This window comes from Homo sapiens, chromosome 12, assembly GCF_000001405.40.
Source record: "Homo sapiens chromosome 12, GRCh38.p14 Primary Assembly".
NCBI lineage: Eukaryota > Metazoa > Chordata > Mammalia > Primates > Hominidae > Homo > Homo sapiens.
Window position 1 is genome coordinate 71,920,006 of NC_000012.12, and position 21,540 is coordinate 71,941,545.

Consider the following 21,540-nt stretch of genomic DNA (forward strand, 5'->3'; position numbering starts at 1 on the left):
CCTTTTGAAAGAAGTAAACACATTTCGGGTATGATCTCATGGTATGGTTTGTGTGGGTGTTTTTATCTTTGTGGAAAATATATTATTAGGTACATGAAGCAGGGGGAAATTAAGACCCTAAATTCGAGGATATTATCTGTATTTAGGAACAGCTGAGCTGTTGATCAAGCGTTTTCTATGTTTGGTTATAAATTTGGGGCAGTTAATTCAGTTATTGTCACAATCAGGGATAAAATGTGATACAAGGGTTTTACGTATTTAGAATGTAGAGCTACCTCTGGGTGTTTCTGATTCCATGTACTGTGTAACTGAACCTTTTTTTATTTCCAGGACTTAGCTTTAGTCTTTTCTCAGATCGAAGTGAGAAACTGATACTTCAGAAAAATATTGAAAATACATCTAACCCTTACACCTTAACCTTGTGTCTGTAGCTCCTGCATTAATAACATTTATCATACTGGTTAGGCTCAGTAATTTACTTACTATAGTTACCTTAAAGAGCCACATTTAGAATATATCATATTCATATAAACTCGATGATAGTTACTTTGTAGCTGAAGGTAAGACTCTCCTTCCCCTCATTTCCTAGCTAGAAAAACCTTGGGCTACCCTAAACAGGCAACATCTACTTTGCATAGAAGTCATTCAGTGTTCAGAATTGTATCTGTGAGGAAAATGTTTTAGAATTGATACAATTTGCAAAATAGTTCTTCTGCCTTCTATAGGTAATGTGGACCGAACTACCATGTACAAATTTCCATCTTCTTCTCTGTTGTGCTATTCTGGAATCAGAAAAGCAGCAAATAATGGAAAAGCATTATGGCTTCAATGAAATACTTAAGGTAGTTATTCCTTTAATTCAGATTTTAGTGTTCTGGCTTTTCTATTTGGTGGTCCTGATATACAGAACGTTTCCTTGGAACATTATTAAATCTCTTGAGTAACTTAAATTGTGTCAATAACAGTGCTAGGAATGACTATCTGAGAATGACAGTTCAAATACATATTGGCCAGTTATTTTTACCTGGCTAATTAGGAAGAAAAGGAAATTCAACAAGTGCTCTTTTATGTAGTTTAGTTTTTCAAAAATTAATTGTCTTTTGATTATAACTTTGAGATATCAGACTTGGAATAGCTGCTGGATTTAATGTTCCATAAGCTTATTAGCTAGTCTTTAGCTTTAAAACTTGAAATAATCTAAAGAAAGATATATTGAATTTCTTACGTATTTGTAGTATATGAATGTTTTTATTTTAAGGATTTTATCTGCAGTGAAATATAACTGGTAATAAATTGTTTATATAATAGAATATAATAGTGTATTCAGTTTCGATATCATTTTATTTTGTTGATACTTTTTAGCATATCAATGAATTGTCCATGAAAATTGATGTGGAAGATATACTCTGCAAGGCAGAAGCAATTTCTCTACAGATGGTAAAATGCAAGGTATACAGTGTTTCAAGTAATTGCAAGATTTGTTTGTTTTTGGTGGGTTGAGATCAAGAAAGATTTTTCTTCTTGGAAATAAAATAGCAACTTTAGTAAGCTGAGGGCAGGCACAAAGTATTGGCTGGCTTTTTGTTTGCTGTTCTAGATTTACAGCACTTAATTGAAAACAGTTGACTATGGCAGATAGGAAACAGCTAATAATAAGGCAAAATGGTAAAAGTAATGAAAATATTTCTATAACAAAGAGGCTGTAGAATTTCAGCAATGATATATTACCCAGTTGAGCTCATGAATGCAGAATAGGCTGTCATATTAAATATGCAGAATCTCTAAACAAAAATGAATGCTAATCAGAAATAATTAAATCAATATTATTTAGCCTGTGTCACTCACTTATATTAGTCAAGTTATTAATTATTTTAAAACAAGGCAAATTTGATGTATTATCTGAATTTGAACCAAAGCAGTATACTTTTGATGTGTTTTAGCTTTTTCTTTCTATTAAGAGAAAGGGCCTTGCTAAGTTGCCCAAGCTGGCCTTGAACTCCTGGGCTCAAGTGATCCTCCTGCCTTAGTTTCCTGAGTAGCTGGGATTACCAGTGCATGCACACCACTGTGCCCACCTCATGACTTTGCTTTTTTTTTGAGACAGAGTCTTGTTCTGTTGTCCAGGCTGGAATGCAGTGGCGTGACCTCGGCTCACTGCAACCTTCTCCTCCTGAGTTCAGTCGATTCTCCTGCCTCAGCTTCCCGAGTAGCTAGGATTACAGGTGCCTGCTACCATGCCTGGCTAATTTTTGTATTTTTAGTAGAGACGAGGTTTCACCATGTTGGCCAGGTTGGTCTAGAATTCCTGACTTCAGGTGATCCACCCACCTCGGCCTCACAAAGTGCTGGGATTACAGGCGTGACCCATCACGCCCGGCCATGACTGCATTTTTTTTTTTTGATACTTCAAGTTCTAGGGTACATGTGCACAACATGCAGGTTTGTTACATAGGTATACATGTGCCACATTGGTTTGCTGCACCCCTTATGACTTTGCATTTTTATGAAAATTCTTGCTTGGTCCTTGTATCATTTGTTCATTGATCCAAACTGTTACTTGGTTCAGTTCTACAAACATTTATTTGATACCTGTTCTCTTCCAAAGCATGTCAATGAGATACTTCTTGCCTTGAAGAACTTTGTTTACTGAGAGAGACAGATGATCTAAGAAAGATATTATTACAAAAAGTAGAAAGAGATAAATGCCAAATATTAGGACATGCTATGTTTGTGGGAATGTGGAGGTGGGATGGAGAGTGACTAATTTGGAAGATATCCAAGAACCACTTAGGGCGAAAGGTGGTTAGCATTTCATTTGGAGCTGAGAAAAATGTTGTGAGAAGGGTACATGACATTTACACTGTTAGGACAAATGCTCAGATTCTGGAATCAATGTAGTCTTAAACAGAAGTGTTACTTTGTGGTTATTTTTCCTCTGTAGTGAAATATGGTTTTGAGTTTGATTTTTCATATCCAGGAATTGCCACAAGCAGTCTGTGAGATCCTTGGGCTTCAAGGCAGTGAAGTTACAACACCAGATTCAGACGTTGGTGAAGACGAAAATGTTGTCATGACTCCTTGTCCTACATCTGCATTTCAAAGTAATGCCTTGCCTACACTCTCTGCCAGTGGAGCCAGAAATGACAGCCCAACACAGATACCAGTGTCCTCAGATGTCTGCAGATTAACACCTGCATGATCACTGTTCTTGCTTTTTTGGGAAGAGACACTTTGTTGCAACCCTTTTTCAAGTACTTGAAAGTTGAAAATTTGAAATCTTGGTATTGATCATGCTTTAAGGTTTATGTAAAGAAAGTGTACTGATGTTCTTACATTAAAGCTTTACAAAGATTTAAACTAATTATTTTTGTAGTTACTTCTACCAAATAGCCTTTCCTTTTCGATAACATTCCTCAGTATTTTTATAGCCAAGTACATTTTATTTTCTTGCTGATGAACTGGAATTGGATAAATATTGCAAGTGGATGAGTTGGAAATTATGCACTTTGAAAAACATTCACTTTGTTTAAGCTTATTGGGTTTCAGATTTGATTAAATTAAATGTGGAGGCTTTCTATAGCATTCTAAGCTGAGAAGTAGATTGTTACCCAGTAATGAAATAAAAAATAAAAATAAAAGGATTTTTTTCTCTATTGTTTACGACAGTACTCAGCTTAAATATTTATGCTGGTCAAATGTGATTTAAATTGGACATTTTCATCAATGCAGTCTAATGTGTAGATAAATATTTCAACCATAATAAGTGGATTGGCAGTATATTTTTTACATTGAACTTTTCTTCACTTGTATATAAAGATTATATATAAGTACTTATTTATGAGTATAAGAAAGGTTAGGCATATTTTCATTAACTGAATAAACGACTTGATTTATATAACCTGGTTTATCAAAATTTAACATGGCTTCAGTATGAGATCTTTTTCAAAACTATTTTCTTAAACATTTATTTCATGAGATTATGTTCAACCCTGTACCTGGTGTAATTTTAAAATTAATTGCTTGTAACCTCACTTTACTAATAATGTTTATTATCTTTCCTAATAATGCATTAACTGATTAATCAGGTGTTTAAATTTTTATAAAATACTCTTGCAAAAAGTTTATTTGAAAAATTTCTAGATGGTCTCATGAGTTTCAAAATAATAATTTTTGTGTATGAACAAAGCTGTTGTTTTTACCATGCAGTATTGCATGATTTTAAGTTATGTGGAATTAACATAACTGATTTTGTTTTAATTGTAAGTTGTTAACTCCTGTATATATCATTAAAATAAATCTGAAGTTGAAGTAGTGTTTTTAGTTAAATTATACTTAGAAATAGTCTGCTTTTTTAAAATTTTTTTTCTTGAGAAAGAGTCTTGCTCTGTTGCCCAGGCTGGAGTGCAGTGGCGCAGTCCTGGCTCACTGCAGCCTCCGCCTTCTGGGTTCAAGCGATTCTCCTGTCTCAGCCTCCCGAGCAGCTGGGACTACAGGCTTGTGCCATCGCGCCTGACTAATTTTTGTATTTTGAGTAGAGATGGGGTTTCACCATGTTGGCCAGGCTGGTCTCGAACTCTTGACCTCAAGTGATCCACTCGCTTCAGCCTCCCAAAGTGCTGAGATTACAGGTGTGAGCCACTGTGCCCGGCTAATTCTTTAATAGAAGAAAAAACATCCAAGATGGACCTCAATTCATCTCTTATTTTTATATGATTAAAATGATAATCTGGCCGGGCGCGGTGGCTCACGCCTGTAATCCCAGCACTTTGGGAGGCCGAGGCGGGCGGATCACGAGGTCAGGAGATCGAGACCATCCCGGCTAAAACGGTGAAACCCCGTCTCTACTAAAAATACAAAAAATTAGCCGGGCGTAGTGGCGGGCGCCTGTAGTCCCAGCTACTTGGGAGGCTGAGGCAGGAGAATGGCGTGAACCCGGGAGGCGGAGCTTGCAGTGAGCCGAGATCCCGCCACTGCACTCCAGCCTGGGCGACAGAGCGAGACTCCGTCTCAAAAAAAAAAAAAAAAAAATGATAATCTGAATAAGTTATGGAAATGAAAACCATCCTTTTTATAACTGAAAAAAAATTTTCATTAGCATGGAAATGGGCACAGTGTTGCCTTGAAAGATACAGTTATTTGACTCAGTAAAGCAGCTTATTACAACTGATGCTAATAGTATAGAGAAAAAAGTTGTGCAGTTCTAAAATGGTCCTAGAGATTGACTTTTTTCCCCCAAGAAAGTTAGGGAACAAAACGAACTTTTTTCCTGGTTGAGCATTAACTGACAATCACGACAGTAGAACCGTTAGAGTTTAGTTTTTAATATTATGTGTGTTATCTTTCATCAGTTAATAATGAGTAAGCCTATTCAGAAAAAGAACATAAACTGATCAAAAACTCAGCATCTCCAGCCTTTCATTTCCTGCTATTCAGGAAATTGCTTAGAACATCTTGATGTCCTCCTTGTTCTTCCTGGACAGTGACTTTTTGGGAGTTTGTTCCTGCTGCGTAATGTGATACCCACTTCAGATTTTTTTTTTATCAATACATTTAGTAAGTTGAACTTCTGTCAAGTTTTATTACAAAATTACTTGTTAAAACAATTTTTACTAAACTGCATTTCTATCTAGCATATTTTTGATATGGAAGTGATAGTATAGTATAGTTCCAGGAGAAGTCTTAAATCAGTCCACAGAGTCCAGTTAGCAAATACTCTGTGCCATTAAGATTGCTAAAATACACAGTTCAGGTAAATTTACTAGTGTTTTTTAAAGGTTTATTTGTTTTCACAAGATGCTCTGTCCACACCCTTATAACATGTAAAATATTGTGTGCTGTATTATGTGGTAAAGTTGTTAAAATTCAGTTTCTAACATTAACTTAAAAGTACAGACAATCTAACATGATGATTTGACTTACAAACTTTCAACTAAATTTATGATGGCTTTAAAGCAGTGCACTGAATAGAAACCATACTTTGAGTACCCATACAGCCATTTTTCACTTTTACTACAATATTCTATAAATCACATGAGATATTTAACACTTTATTATAAAATAGGCTTTGTGTTAGATGATTTTGCCCAAATGTAAACTAATGTAGTGTTCTGAGCATGTTTAAGTTAGGGTAGGCTAAACTATGTTTGGTAGGTTAGATGTATTAAAAGCATTTTTGATTAATGATGTCTTCAATTTATGATGTGTTTATTGGAACATAACCTCAATATAAGTTGAAAAGCATATGTATTTTCAATTCTGGCATGAACCTATGGGAATCTTTTGCATTTAAGAACCTCCCCATTTTAATAATTTCATGGGTCTAAGATTCTTCATCTGTTTATAAGGAACTTTAGTCTTAGTGATTAGAGACTAAATTTTTTTTTGAGCAGTAAGAAAACAGCCTTTTGGGACAGATAGTGAGTGATTCTTAGGAACTTGACATTGCCAAGAAATTTTATAGATGCCGAAGAATTCTTATGTGAAATTCACATAAGCATGCCCATTACTAAAGACAGTTTGTATAAAGTAACCCTAAATGTTTATTGAGGAACCTACAGCTTCAACTGACTTACGTGCAGATATGTACCAGGAGAACATCATTTTAGCTTGGGCGTCTTTACTTGGGGTTTTCAGAGGATCCAGGAACCTCACTGTATGCAAAGTCTTGTGGATGTACCTGAATGTTTTTGGAGGCAGGTCACATAGTTTCTGAAAGTGTTCTCTTATTTTCCTCAAATGTAGGTAACCATTGTTACAAGTTATTTAACAGGAGAATAGTAACAATGTCTAACTTATGCTAATGATTTTGTGTGCTGAGCTCCCATTAATTAAAATGTCTTCAGAATGCTTGTTTCCAGATCCTTGGTCTGTATTATTAAGATACATGTCTAGGTGCTACTTCAGGCTTACAGAATCAGTCTTTGGAAGTCAGATCAGGAATCTGCATTTTAACAAGCATCCAGGTGATTTCTTGAGCCCCTCTGAAGTTAGAGCACTACCATTATATATTGTATTTCATATGTTAATCTTTTGATTTATGGCCAAGTGGACAATTCCCTTAATTTTTAAAAGCTTGTCCCTTGATTTTCTAAGATATTTGCTCTAGTTCCGGTCGCCATTTTTAGTAAAAAGTGATGACAGCTCAGCCTGTTATATGTAGATTTCTCATTTCTTACTTTCTGAAGAAAATTAAGCTTTCTGTGTCACTTCTGAGCACGAAACAAGATTAAATTATTGGAATCTGAAAGGCTTCCATCAGTACCTAATCTCATTACCTGATACTAAGTATCTGTACTTGGACATATGTATATACACTGCCGTTTGAATAATGCAACCATATTTGGCCTGTTCTTCCCTTGGGATCTTACAATATGGGGAATTTAAGTTGTATATTTTTGAGGAGTTTTCTAATTACAGATGCTTTCCCCATTGTTGTATGCAGGCTTCTAATTTTCAGGCCATGCATCTTGACACAGGGAAAAATGGTGTGTCACCCTTAGATAGAAAGGTTGGGGGAGTGCCTGCGGTTGTACTGGACATCCACACTCTTTTTTAATATCCACAGCACCTCTTTCAGCCACCTGGGAAATTACACTGTTTATGAAATCAATGTTTAAAAGAAGTGATTGTAAACAAAAGTCTTCTAAGAACGATCAGGAATCAAGAATCCTATCATTTTTGCCTAATGTGATTCAATCCCTATTGATGAAATCAGGATGTTAGAATAATAGGAAGTGAACTATTAAGTATGCCTCTCCCTCTCAAATGATCTAGATAGTATATTGCCCCTCACATACCCCCTCTCTCTGCAAAAGATGACAGAACGAAAAGAAATTCCAGTAAGCTTTGCTGTGATCAATGAGCAGCAGTCAGTTTAGCTTAGCTTTTTAAATTAAAAAGACCTATTAACTTCTAAGATGGACTTTTACTGTGACAGTCAATAATGTGTCCAATATCACACTAGTCTGATTGGAAGCACAGGACCCAGTACAGTAGGTTGGTAGACTGCTTTAAAAATAGAAATAGAGCTATTTTTCTATGGCTTTGAGTGTTGTTTTCCCTGATCATGTAGGTACTAGAATCCCTTCCATTGGTGTAACTGACTCACTTTAGAAAGCAAGTTGCTCTCCAGTAGGAGAGCCATCAAGGTACTTCTGAATGTCAGCATTAACACTGCATGCTACCTACAGTCACTGTCAGGGGCACGAATATGGAGTACGTACCGAAAGATTTTGGCCACATGTTTTGTTAGCTAAGTCAAGTCTTAAATGAGCCAAATGTAGTATTTGCTGACTAGGAAGTAAGTCATTTGAAATTAACAGTATTTAGGCTGTACATGGTGGCTCATGCCTGTGATCCCAGCACTTTGGGAGGCTGAGACGGGAGGATTGCTTGAGCCCAGAAGTTTAATGTTACATTGAGCTATGATGGTGCCACTGCACTCCAGCCTGGGCAACAGAGCAAGACCCTATCTCTTAAAAAAAAAAAGTTAACAGCATGTAACCCTAATAGATTATATAGAGATTAAATTGTTAAGTTTTTGGAGTGAAATGTAAGTTCTTTTAGTTTTTGTACTTTTAAAAGTAATACTATTATAAACACATAGATGTCCCTTTACACACTTCTTCCCCCAAATGGACATCTGCTATTCCTTCTTTCGCACATCAAGGTGTAAAGTAGTGAAGTCTAAAAGCTGAATTTTTAAAACTTGCTCAAATATTTATCCCAAAGTTATTCAACTTTTGAATAACTTTGGGACAAATTATTCTTTTTTGATTAACAGAGCTTTTAAGCATTCTGTGTAAAAGCTAATGACTTCTTAAAGGAGGAGAAACTATAGTTCTCACTAGCTTCCTCCACATCCTACTAATAATGTTTTTCTAAACTAACCTTTGAACTTTCTGTGGAGAATGACTTTTGCCAAAGTTTTATTGACAAGTGAAGACAGGAGAAAATCCTTTTCATTGACATTTCATACCTGAAAAGCGCTTCATAAGCTACAGCTTACATAGTGGATGGGTTGTCTTGGCAAAGGCACATCTTAGGGATGGAATTTAAGGAATAAGAATGTGGTCAATTAGTTCAGATGGCAGAATTCTGAAGCCATCAGTCAGACACACTAGAATCCTTTCCCGATTGAAATTGCTTTTATCAAAAGGCAATAACCGATGCTGGAGAGGATGTGGAGAAAGGGGAACTCTCATACACTTGGTGGGAATGTAAGTTAGTACAACCACCATGGAGAACAATTTGGAAGTTAGTAAAAAAAAAAAAAAGCTAAAAAAACTACCATATGGTCCAGCAATCCCACTGCTGAGTGTACATCCAAAAGAAAGGGAATTAGAGTATCCAAGAGAGATGCGTACTCCCATGTTTATTGCAGCATGATTATAAGAGCCAAGATATGGACTCAACCTACACATCCATCAACAGATGAATAAAGAAAATGTGGTACATATACAGAATGGAATATTATTCAGCCATAAAAATAAAATTCTGATGTGACAACACAGATGTAAGTAGAGGACATGTTAATTGAAATAAGCCAGGCATGGAAAGATAAATATTTCATGTTCTCATTCATATGTGGAGGCTAAGAAAAATTGCATTTATGGAGATAGTAGAATGATGGTTACCAGAGGGTGGGAAGGGTGGTGGGGAGGTGGGACAAAGAAGGGGTGGTTAATGCGTATAAAAATACAATCAGAAGGAATAAGATCTAGTGTTTGGTAGCACAACAGGGTGACTATAGTTAACAATAATTTATTGTATATTTCAAAGTAAAGAGTAGAATTGGAATGTTCCTAATGCAAAGAAACGATAAGTGCTTGAGGTGATGACTATCTGCCCTCCCACCAAAAAAAATTCTTTCTCCAAATGTATTCCCCTTAATCCTAACAGGACAACTGAATCATTCTGAACATAAGAATACAACTTCCTTTAAAAAAACAACACACACACACACACACACACACACACACACACACACATACACAACACTTGTAGAAAAGGAGATTCTTTACCACAGAAATTCTCATTTTTATGGGTCACTCTGAATTTGATTTTGTGACACTTTTTCCCATGTCTGGATTGCTGAGGTTTCCACATCCTTCTTCAGCTCTACCCCTCAGAATTAGACATAAAGAAGTAAGTTTAGAAGAGAGTTTATTCTGTAAGAAGGTTTGAATTATAAATATTGTATTTGATAGCTTCACAATACCGAGTGGATCCATAAGAGGCCTAGCCTTGGTCCAGGGTTCACTCATATTTTAATTTCCTAAGTTTCCTGAGTTTTCCTTAAAGTCTCACATTGTCTAAGAGCATCACCATGGATTTTAAAAAATACAGTCTTCGTTGTTAAGCTTGCTTTAAAAAACTGCCGCCAGGCACGGTGGCTCATGCCTGTAATCCCAACATTTTGGGAGGCTGAGGTGGGTGGATCACCTGAGGTCAGAAGTTCAAGACCAGCCTGGTCAACATGGCAAAACGCTGTCTCTACTAAAAATACAAAAATTAGCTGGGTGTGGTGGCGGACACCTGTAATCCAGGCTAACAGGGAGGCTGAGGCACAAGAATCACTTGAACCGGGGAGGTGGAGGTTGCAATGAGCCGAGATCGTGCCACTGCACTCCAGCCTGGGCAACAGCAAGACTCCATCTCAAAAGAAGAAGAAGAAGAAAAAAAAGTAGAAGTTTTATATGCCTTATTTTTATTCTTGTTCTCTTATAATTTATATGCTATCACTGACCCAAAGTTTCTTGGCCACAATTTAGAATTGTATACCCATGTAAACTCAAATAATGTGAGCCGTGTTGATAGGTGGTACTTCAAATAATACAACTTGCTTTAGGGGCTTGTTTTCTCAAGTTCAAGGTGAATTCAGGGTGGAGTCTGGATGCCTGGGTCACCTTTATAAGGTGCTTTATATTCTTGCAAAGAATATAAAATTTATTCTATAAGCTTTGGAAGTCAAATGTCAGAAAATAATTTAGTCAAACTGAATTGTTCATATTAGAAAATGTCTACTTATGAAGTAAAACAAAAAGCTTAGACTAAGAACACAGATTGAGTCCGTCATGGGTCTGAGACCTGGTTCAGTTGCTTCTTAGTTTTGTGACCAGGCCTCTCAGCCCTCAGTTTCTCATTTGTAGATGAGGATATTACCTACCTCAGTTGTGAGGAGTAAATGGAGTACATATAAAATGTCTAATATGGTACTGGGCATGATAAAGCACTTATAAATGCTATCATTATTATTTCATGGCAACCAAATAGATACTGCCACAAACTATCTTTTTGAATCTTAAAGCTACATGGTTTGCTTTTCCTCCCCAAACATACTATCCTACAGATAGAGCCTTGAGGCACCCATTGGTTTTTTTTCTATTGACTGAGGTCATTTTGACTCCAAATCTGAACTGTGTATTCTGGTTTCTTCTGAGCCACAGCCTCACTGACCCCACCATAAATCACCATTCTTTTTATGCTTCAGTTTTCTTCATATTTGCTTAGATATGCTTGCCTTTTATCCATTCCCCCTTTATAAAAATTATTATTAAAAATGATGAAAGATGAGTGTAAGATACAGCTTATGTTTTGCTTATTTATGAAGTCTGATCACCCTCAAGTCAATAAATAATCAAAATTAAAAATGACATGTCTGCATTAAACATTTTTAGTAGTATGGGAAATTATGGTGTCTGACAGTCAGTGAACATTTTATTAGGCAACAAATTAATGCTTAATATTGTGGACAGCTGTTTTTGGTTATGCTTCAACATTAGGTCAATTTGGTCAGACTCTGATACCAAATTGTCCTGCTTGATTTCAGGTCAGATTGTATTATCTGCATGTCTAGATGGTTGACACAGCCTTCATGCAAAGTTTCAGTGCAATTTTTCTTTGTTTATCCTTTTTCCCTCTCAAAATGATAGTTTATGTAGTATTTGAGAGTAATCAGCAGGAACAAATACTTTTTTGTGTTATAAACACCATCTGTTACAATATGAGTTGAAGTGCTAAAAGCCACTTGAGTATTAATTTTCAGAAATTTTCATCTGAGCACAGTGTATCACTCATATTGACTATTGAGACTAATAATCAAGGCTTTTCACTCAAAGTCAGGAGAGATGTTGGTTTGTGCATATCTTGAAAATAAAATGGTGTTATGGAGGAGTCTGCTTGAGTTTCCTAAAGGTAAAAAATTGCATGCTTATTTCATTTCCTTTTACTGATAAGTTACAATACTACTAAATCAAGGAAGCACCTTAGATAGGCAATAAACTTATTTTGGTATGATATTCATGTGGTTAATTTGACAAAATTAGGAGCAGTTGGTAGTAATAGAGAACAATTGCTGCCAAGAAGACCAAAGTATACCCTATAATCTCTAGAAGACAAAGTTGATGGGAAAAAAATCCAGCCAAACTAATTGTGAGCTTGATTGTGTGCTATAAATATAAAGGTCAGCCCTTTCTCTTGCCTTGTTCAACATGAATTTAAGCATAGTAAGCACATGCACCAAATTTGCTTGTGACACATACTTGATAGACTGGAATGATGGCTTAAAACCTAAAGGACAAATTATTAAAGGAAAAGGAATCAGACTTTTTGTCGAATTCCAATCTTGAAACTCTCACTTTGCTTTGAGTATCTCCAAACTCTCACATCCAATATCTATCCTTTAATAACTTTACACCTGCTTTCTCCATTCACACTGGGGTGTTGCCAGGCAAATTCTCCCTTACTTTAAGTCTACTCATGTCCTTCCATTCTTTCTCCCGAACACATTTCTTTGCACTGCTGAAGCCTAGATTTCTCTTCACGACATTGCATTTCCAGCTGGCTTCTAACTTGGCCAGCATGGTGGGTGTGAGTGGTAAGGGAAGGAGAAGAAATAAGGAGTCCTCAGGCCTCTCACTTTCTGTCTATGAAATGGAAATTGGTAGGTGTGGATAGGTTGGTCTCTTCCAGTTGTGGGCCATGGATGCTTCAGCATCCCCTTGGTTGTCTTAGTTTATTTATATTGCCTTTTTCATTTCTTTGTTCATATGGGCTACAGCCTCTCAGAAGCCATTTCCATTTTTCCAGGTGTTTTAAGGACTAGTTTATAGTATTTCTCTCATTTCACTGCTTTCCTCAATGACAACAAATACCTATGTTGAGGACTCATTGGTGTTCTTAATATAAAACTTCCCTAATTTTGTGGACCCCTATTTCATATCTCAGCTGTTTGCCGTCATGGCCATTCATGATCACATGGCCCTCTTACACCTGTAAGATCTTATATTGGAGGTCTCCTTATCTGACAGTATCTCTTTTTATATTTTCCCACCCAATTTTTCGCTTCCTGATGCCTAGCCTCTTTAGCTGCTTGATCCAAGCCACTTCTGTTGGCTTACCTTGTGACTATTGACTTCTTACTTATCATGAATTATGAGGGCAACCACCTCATTAAAACCTAGGTATCCACGTCTCTTAAATTTCTGTCAAATATTGCAAACCAATGCTCAATTTTATATTACTCTGGCTTCAGAATCAATGAGGCATAGGGAGATAATTAACACTTTGAGTGTCGAATATCTGCCAGCCACCATGTTAATCACTTTATACATATACAATACAATCAGCATAACAGCCCTATAAGGTTTAGATATTATTGCCCTACTATTACAGAAATGGAGGCTGAAAAATGTGAAGTAATGTGTCCTGATTAAGCATAAGTAGGCAAATAGCAGAGTGAAGATTTAAACTTAGTTTTATTTTTAAAAATGTCTTATTTCCATGCAGTATTTATTTATTTATTTATTTACTTTAGAGATGGGGTTTTGCTCTGTCATTCAAGCTAGGGTGCAGTGGCATGACCATAACTCACTGCAGCCTTGAACTCCTTGGCTCAAGCGAGCCTTCTGCTTCAGCCTCCTGAGCAGCTGGGAATACTGCCACATACCATTACACTAGTAATTTTTATTTTTATTTTTGTCTTTTGTAGAGATGGGGTCTCATTATGTTTCCCAGGCTGGTCTTAAACTCCTGGCCTCAGCAATCATCCTGCCTTGGCCTCCCAAAGTGCTGGGATTATAGGCCTGAGCCATTATGCCCGGCATAATGTATTTTTAAAGTTTATATTTTTGTAATCAATATCACACAGGTACATGGTTTCCACAAGACTTTTTGTTATGAGAAACTGTTCCTCTCCTTCTCCCCGCCATCCATATCCTCCTACCCTCCCCAACCCCCACCAGTGGCGAGACTTTCAACTGTCAGGTCATGCTTGTGGTATTTACTTCCATATGTCCCAATGCTGTAATATGTGTATGCTGCTACTACTTTGATTTTCAGCTCTAGGCATTAACCATTGATTTTTCATCTTGGAAGACAAGAATTTAGCTGTTTACCCTCTCCCCACAGCCCCTATTATTCACATACACACTTTCTTATCTGTCTGTCTTCTAATATAATTGATATAATATTGGTTAGGTCAATATTTAGTGCTTATGTTATGACTTCGTAACTGTAATCCCCAAATGAGACATGCTCCCCTTCAGCCCTAATTTTCATTTTTCTTGGGGAGTTAATTCTTATCAAGGTTTTTTACTGGCTGATTTTATATACAGTTGTCACTAATCTAACCCCACACTCTCTACCAAATATTTAAATTGAGGCTTGTCAAATGTGAGCTTACCTACAGGGTAATCTGTTTGCATTATTTTGTTCAGAGCTTTCAATATTATCTGAGCTTTCAGTGTGTTTTAAGATCTTGCCTTTGCCAGATTCTCCAAAGATATTTTTTGTCTTTATTTGGCTGGAGAATAAATGCCTGGCTGTCAGACTTCTGAGGTTTGGGAGTCTCCATGTCATGATATCATGAGTCTCACTACCTCAATACATTCATTTAATCAGAATGGTACCCGTATTCTCAACTATGCCTGATGCTCCTAAGTACAGAGGCCCTTTGTTTTACCCTTTCCAGAGAATAACCTTCAATTTTCTACCTGGGGGCAAAAGAGGAGGTGGCTTGGCTATTTAGTCAAGGGGAATATGGAATTTTAACTCCTTTTTAAAAATAAGATAACAGCTTTATCGAGATATGATATATATGCCAAAAGATTCCCTCCCTTAAAGTGTACAATTTTGTGGTTTTTAGTATATTCACAAAGTTGTGTAAATATCACTAATATTTAATTTTATTAGTGATGAATTCTGTATGAATTTTATTAGTGATAAATTCTGTATAAAAATTCATTTTCATACAGAAACCTTGTACCTTTTAGCAGCTATTCCCCACCTCTTCTTTTTTTCCAGTCCCTGGCAGCCACTAATCTACTTTCTGTGTGTGTCTCTCTCTCTTTTTAAAACGATCTCTTTTTACATCTTCTAGACATTTCATATAAACAAAATCTTGCAATACATGCATGGTCTTTTGTGACTGGCGTCTTTCACTTAGCATAATATTTTCAAGGTTCACCCATATTGTAACATGTATCAGTACATTATTTCCTTATATTGCTAAATAACATTTTATTTATCATGTATCATTTTTTGTTTTTTTCATTAGGTGATAGTATTTGAGTTGTTTCTATTTTTGGCTATTATGAATAATGCTGCTATGAACATTCATGTACAGTTTTTGTGTGGATGTATATTTTCATTTTTCTTCGGTGTATACCTAAGGGTGGAATTGCTGAATCATGTAGTAACTCTAGTTTTACCTTTGTGAGGAACCGCCAAACGTTTTTTCAAAGTGACTACACCATTTTACACATAGCTAGGAGTGAAATTGTTGAGTCATACAGTAACTTTATGTTTTGCATTTTGAGAAACCACCAAACTGTTTCCCAAAGTGACTGTACCATTTTATAATACCACCAGCAATGTGTGAGTGTTCCACATTTTCTGCTTCTTTACCAACATTTGTTATTGTCTGTCTTTTTTATTTTAGCCATCCTAGTCGGTCAGAAGTCATACTGTGTTTTTTGATTTGCATTTCCCTAATGACTATTGATGTAGAGCACCTTTTCCTGTTTGCACTGGCCATATCTTCTTTGGAGAAATGTCTATTAATTTTTTTTTGCCCAGCCAGAGCATGATAGCAAGACCCTGCCTTTACAACAGCAACAAAAAATTAGCTGGGTGTGATGGCCTGTGCTTGTAGTCCCAGATGCTTGGGACGCTGAGGCAGGAGGATCACTTGAGCCCAGGAGGTTGAGGCTGCCAAGAACTATGATTGTGCCACTGCACTCCACTGTGGGTAACAAAGCCAGCTGTCTCAAATAAATTTTGTTTCCCAATTAAAAATTGGTCTGTTTTTTTAATTGCTGAGTTGTAGGAATTTTTTATTCTGGATACTGTTTCCTATGAGATATATGATTTATAAATATTTCCTCCCACATTGTGGGTTGTCTTTTCACTTTTCTGAGGGTGTCCTCTGAAGCACAGAAGTTTTTAATTTTGATGAAATCTTATTTTTTTCTTTAGGTACTTATGTTTTTGGTGTCCTATCTAAGAAACAATGGCCTAATCCAAAGTCAAAAACATTTACTCCTATCCTTTCTTCTAAGAATTTTAATTTTAGTTCTTACATGTGTGTTTGTGATTCATTTTGAGTTAATTTTTGTGTGCAATGTGAAATAGAAGTCCATCTTCATTATTTTGCATGTGGATATCCAAAGTTGTCCCGGGACAGTTTGTTCAAAAGATCATTCTTTCCCCATTGAATTGTCTTGGCACGTTTGTTGAAAATCAATTCCCTCTACATGTAAGGGTTTATTTCTGGACACTCAATTCTATTTCATTTACCTATATATCTGTCCTTAGTACCACACTGTCTTGATTATTGTAACTTTGTTATAAGTTTTGATTTGTCTAACTGCTTCTCACACTTTGAACCACTCTTTTTCAGTCTCATCTACCTTCAATTCCAGAGGTATTTGAGCCTTTAGGGTATTCTGTCATGTAAAGTGCGTTGCTTCTAAGTCTTCTTCATTGATAGCTTAAGGTTCAGCTTTCCCATGACTGCAAAGCCTTTGATCAGTTTTTTCTTCTTTCAAGCTGCTAATTTTTTGTTGCCATTGTTTTCCAACTTATGCGACTCTTGTGTACCTTGAAAAGGAATTTTTTATCTTGTTTTAATAGGGTTTCCAGGGTGAGCAAAAGTAGTTAAATCTTTAATATTCTAAATATATATTATAAATAAATTACTTTTAATATCTTTTTTTCCCTCATTTCCACATCCAAGCAGGGACACTATCTAGTGGATTTTATCCCTTCACATCTCTGGTTCTTTCATTACATCTCAGTAACATTAGCTACTATTATTGTCATTAGTTCATTTGCCTTATTTAAACTTGCTTCTCCTATTAGCTGATTAGAGCTGACCCTTACAGAAAATGTAAGCCAAATAATATTTTCAGAATTAGATCAATTAATAATTATGTCTCTTCAAGACTCCAGAAACAATTAAACTTCAGTCAATATTAGTTCATCCCGACTTGTTTTGAAATTTTTTTTCTATATAGACAAGCAGTGCCAGCACCAGATTTTGTTTAGATTTTCAGTCAAACAAGCACATTTGGTCAAGAGTTTTTCATTCTTCAGGAGATTGGTAACATTTTCCTGTGGCCTGGTGAATTTTATGACTTTCTAAGGTTTGAATAGTAAGAATATTGATTAATCTATGCATGTCAAGTTGCTGGATTTGATCTAGTTGACATTGATATTTGACAGTATGTTTAGTCATTAAAAGCTCAAATGTCATAGTACTCTTAACCTCTGCTTTCTCCTCACCACATAACGCACAGATCTCGTATATTTAAGTAGCACTTTTTATATGAAAGGGTCATGTCAAAGATTAAATTTCCATGATTTCCAGTAGAGAGAAAAACCACAAGAGTATTAAAATGAATGGCTGATATATGGGAATCTAGTTTCCTTTTATTTCTCATTTAGTAAGGAAGATTCCAGGATTAGTATCTGAGCTATATGTAATCTACATGTGGCTAAATTGAACCCTTACCTTTCCTTTGCAATACATTTTCCTCCATATAACTCTGCATAGAGGCATCACAGGATTAAGAAGAAGCCCTTTTATGAAAGCCATTACACATATATACACTCACACATTTGCATGCACAAAATTAGAATATGTCAAGTCAGAAAAAGCTTATTAACATAAAATGGAGTTGGTCAATGAGTAAAAAAAATATGCTGATGGGAGGGATAAGATCTAGTGTTCGGGAGCACAATAATTTATTTTCTTTTGTATTTTAAAATAACTGGAAGAGTGGAATTGGAATGTTTCTAACACAAAAAGAAATGATAAATGCTTGAGGCAATGGATATCTTGATTACCTTATTTGATCATTACACATTGTACGCTTGTGTCAAAATATCACATGTGCCTTATAAATGTGTACAACTATTAGTTATCCATAAAAATTAAAAATTAAAAAATCCGTAAAATGGTTTAAGCATTCAGCAGTGCTGATCTTTCTTAAATTATTTTTCTAATTTTGGAAAGAAAGCACAAAATCTTTGAATTCACAATTGCTTAAAGACTGAGGTTAACTTGCCAGTGGCAGGCTTGAGAGATGAGAGAACTAACGTCAGAGGATAGATGGTTTCTTGTACAAATAACACCCCCTTATGTATTGTTCTCCACCACCCCCGCCCAAAAAGCTACTCGACCTATGAAACAAATCACACTATGAGCACAGATAACCCCAGGCTTCAGGTCTGTAATCTGACTGTGGCCATCGGCAACCAGAAATGAGTTTCTTTCTAATCAGTCTTGCATCAGTCTCCAGTCATTCATATAAAGGAGCCCGGGGATGGGAGGATTCGCATTGCTCTTCAGCACCAGGGTTCTGGACAGCGCCCCAAGCAGGCAGCTGATCGCACGCCCCTTCCTCTCAATCTCCGCCAGCGCTGCTACTGCCCCTCTAGTACCCCCTGCTGCAGAGAAAGAATATTACACCGGGATCCATGCAGCCAGCAATGATGATGTTTTCCAGTAAATACTGGGCACGGAGAGGGTTTTCCCTGGATTCAGCAGTGCCCGAAGAGCATCAGCTACTTGGCAGCTCAACAGTGAGTACTACGTACCTGGCACTATGGAGAATTATTTTTTAGGGTGTGACCATCTTCTCCTCACCATATGAATCCCTTTTGTAGTGTAAGCACGCACACCTCAAATTTCTCCTTCTTTATAATCTGTCTACCCTGCTTTCCTCCTGTCTGCCTCCAGTCTTCCTCTTCTCTCCATAAGTAAAGCGAGTGTGCCAATCACTGCGTGCTCAACTTTTTTTCCGCAAAGTTTGTAAGTAGAGAGTTAAGAAGTTCCTGAACATTAAGAATGAGAGATTGTATGAATCAATGTCTTAAATCTACAGCCAAAAAAAAAAAAAAAAAAATGGAGTGTGAAGAATTTTGAAAAGCCGTTTATTATGAGGAGGAGGAGTAGGGAGAACAAATTAAATAAATTTCCACGGTTTTCAGAAGATCATTGTGTCTCCTACACCCCCTTCAGTTTACAAAGCCTGGTCTTTAAACATAGAACTATTATTTTCTCTTCTTAGTTATGGGTGCAGGTTATTGGAATAAAAGAAAGATTGGATTCCTTTCAAAAGTTTTTCTGTGTTTCACATTGCTCAATTTTTTTCAGTTTACTTGATGGAATAATGAAAGCAATACACCACTTGCTATAGTATTTAAGGGAGTTTTATGTTTATAATATCTACAGGATAAAAAAGCAGTATTTGCAGGATTTTAGATCCTGCTTTCAGGTAGTAGTCATGGGATTTAATAAAAACCACGAAATAAAAATGTATCCAGGTCCTAGTCATTAAAAATATTAAATGGTATTTTATTACTGTACTATCAGAGTTTATCAACCAAATCCAATTCAGTCTGTATCATAGAATCATCTGTTTTAATTTCGTAGCTCCAAATATGTGCCAGAGGGCTGCGTTGGACTGACATATTATTACTGATAAAAATGTTGAAAAGTAAACATGGCAACTTCTGTAGAATTATTTAAATCAATTTGCAAAAATGAGGCCAAAATGTAAATAGATTTTTTAACATTTAAATATCATGAATATTTGGATGAGATATTACAATGAAGAGTTTTGAAGTCATAATTAACTGCTAGAAGGAAAACAAAGTAAGCTCAGGGTAATGGTTAATGTATGACCCTTTTATATAAAAAATGCTACTTCTGTATGCAAGATCTGTGTGTTGTGTGGTGAGGAGGAGGCAGATGTTAAGAACACTGAGACATTTGAGCTTTTAATGACTAAACATACTGTCAAATGTCAATGTCTGCATAAACTTCTTCCCTCCCTCAAGTCATAAATAATAAAATCTCCATCTCTATTATATATAAATCTAGTGAGTAAGGCAATACTGATGTGTGAAAATAAAGCCAGTAGAGAAATCAGAAGAAGACAATGGCAGATAACTATTCACTGGGTCCCAAAGCAAACCTACATTTCTCAGTTTCATGAGGATGTAGTAGATTGGTACGATTGTATTAAATCACCATTTGCCAGGAGTTACTTCTATGTCTGCCCAATGCTGTATTTGCATATAAAGAATATAAAACAGACCACATAATTTTGCATTGTCTGTCAAATGAAAGTTTCCAGCTTGTTGTTTTTGTTTTGTTTCCTCCCATTCTATTCCTAAATAAAGTTTCCAGCTTTTTATTCTGCATTTCTGGCAATGTGACCTGAGTTACTGGAATCTGTCATTTTTTTCTTTAGCCAGCAGGATTAATAGACATTACTTCATCAGGCAATATAAAATCTTAAGTGGCTAATGAAGTGTTAATCTTTTTCAGTTTCTCAGATTTTTACTGTTTGCCCCTAATAATTAGCTGGCCAGGTTTCTTCCTTCCTGCCTTTCTCCTTTTTTCCTTTTATTTGTCACTGAATTTTAATAGTCACTTCTCAAATATTATCTTCTGACACAGATGGCCTTAGAGTTAGTTATACATGTGTCTGTGCTGAACTTTTGCAGGCAGATTCACATTGACAATGTGGATCTAACTGAAGAAAGTAATACTACCCATTAATTTCTGGGCATGTGCTGACATATTTTGGAATGAAATCGATATTTTGTTTTTAAAATTTAATTGAAACTAAAATTATTTTCAAAAATATGTTTGATCTTATTTTTAATATGGTTAGTAATTAATATAGTTTCCATAGGATTCAACGAGGCTAAGAGATCAAATTTTGTGCTGTAAAATAATCCTAGAAAGGCAGGAATTTTTCATATATGATATTGCAGGCGTTACGACAGTCAGGTTTTTGTTGCTATTAAAGTGAAGCAAATCTGATCCCCTTTTAATTTCAACCACTAGATGATGTCTTAGACCATTGGAAAATAGTGTCTCAGAATAAATTAGACCAATATTTATGACTGAAAGTTATGAGTGACACGGCAACTTCACCTTAAGTTTGTATGATTGGTGGAGCTTCCAGCTTATGAATGACATGTATGGGAAAAATCTAATTACGGAGGATTCTGGAACCCTAA

At 36.0% G+C, this 21,540-nt stretch overlaps 2 protein-coding genes across 44 annotated transcripts in view, besides 1 other annotated feature; both read left to right on the forward strand.

Moving 5' to 3' along the window:
• Positions 1-4,308, forward strand: part of TBC1D15 (TBC1 domain family member 15) — an 84,555-nt gene extending 80,247 nt beyond the window's left edge. For 39 of the 42 annotated variants that reach the window (NR_169783.1, NR_169765.1, NR_169767.1 and 36 more), the window contains 3 exons: positions 726-842; positions 1,363-1,449; positions 2,978-4,308. Coding sequence is in view for 16 of the 42 variants with exons in the window: in XM_011538679.1 (XP_011536981.1) it covers positions 726-842; positions 1,363-1,449; positions 2,978-3,199 (426 nt within the window). In the remaining 26 variants the exon portion in view is untranslated. Of the gene's footprint in view, positions 1-707; positions 843-1,362; positions 1,450-2,977 lie in introns of all 42 variants that reach the window. The other 3 variants (NR_169773.1, NR_169787.1, NR_169784.1) reach the window with 1 other exon arrangement.
• Positions 18,706-19,005: a silencer, noted in NCBI's record as "fragment chr12:72332491-72332790 (GRCh37/hg19 assembly coordinates)". NCBI's record gives its function as "represses an EF-1alpha promoter that drives an FKBP-Casp9 reporter gene in an ReSE screen in HepG2 liver carcinoma cells {active_cell/tissue: HepG2}" and the evidence as "EXISTENCE:reporter gene assay evidence [ECO:0000049][PMID:32094911]".
• The window catches only part of TPH2 (tryptophan hydroxylase 2), a 93,596-nt gene continuing 90,895 nt past the window's right edge, over positions 18,840-21,540 (forward strand). For both annotated transcript variants that reach the window (XR_001748575.2, NM_173353.4), the window contains exon 1: positions 18,840-19,086. Coding sequence is in view for 1 of the 2 variants with exons in the window: in NM_173353.4 (NP_775489.2) it covers positions 18,982-19,086 (105 nt within the window). In the remaining variant the exon portion in view is untranslated. The remainder of the gene's footprint in view (positions 19,087-21,540) is intronic.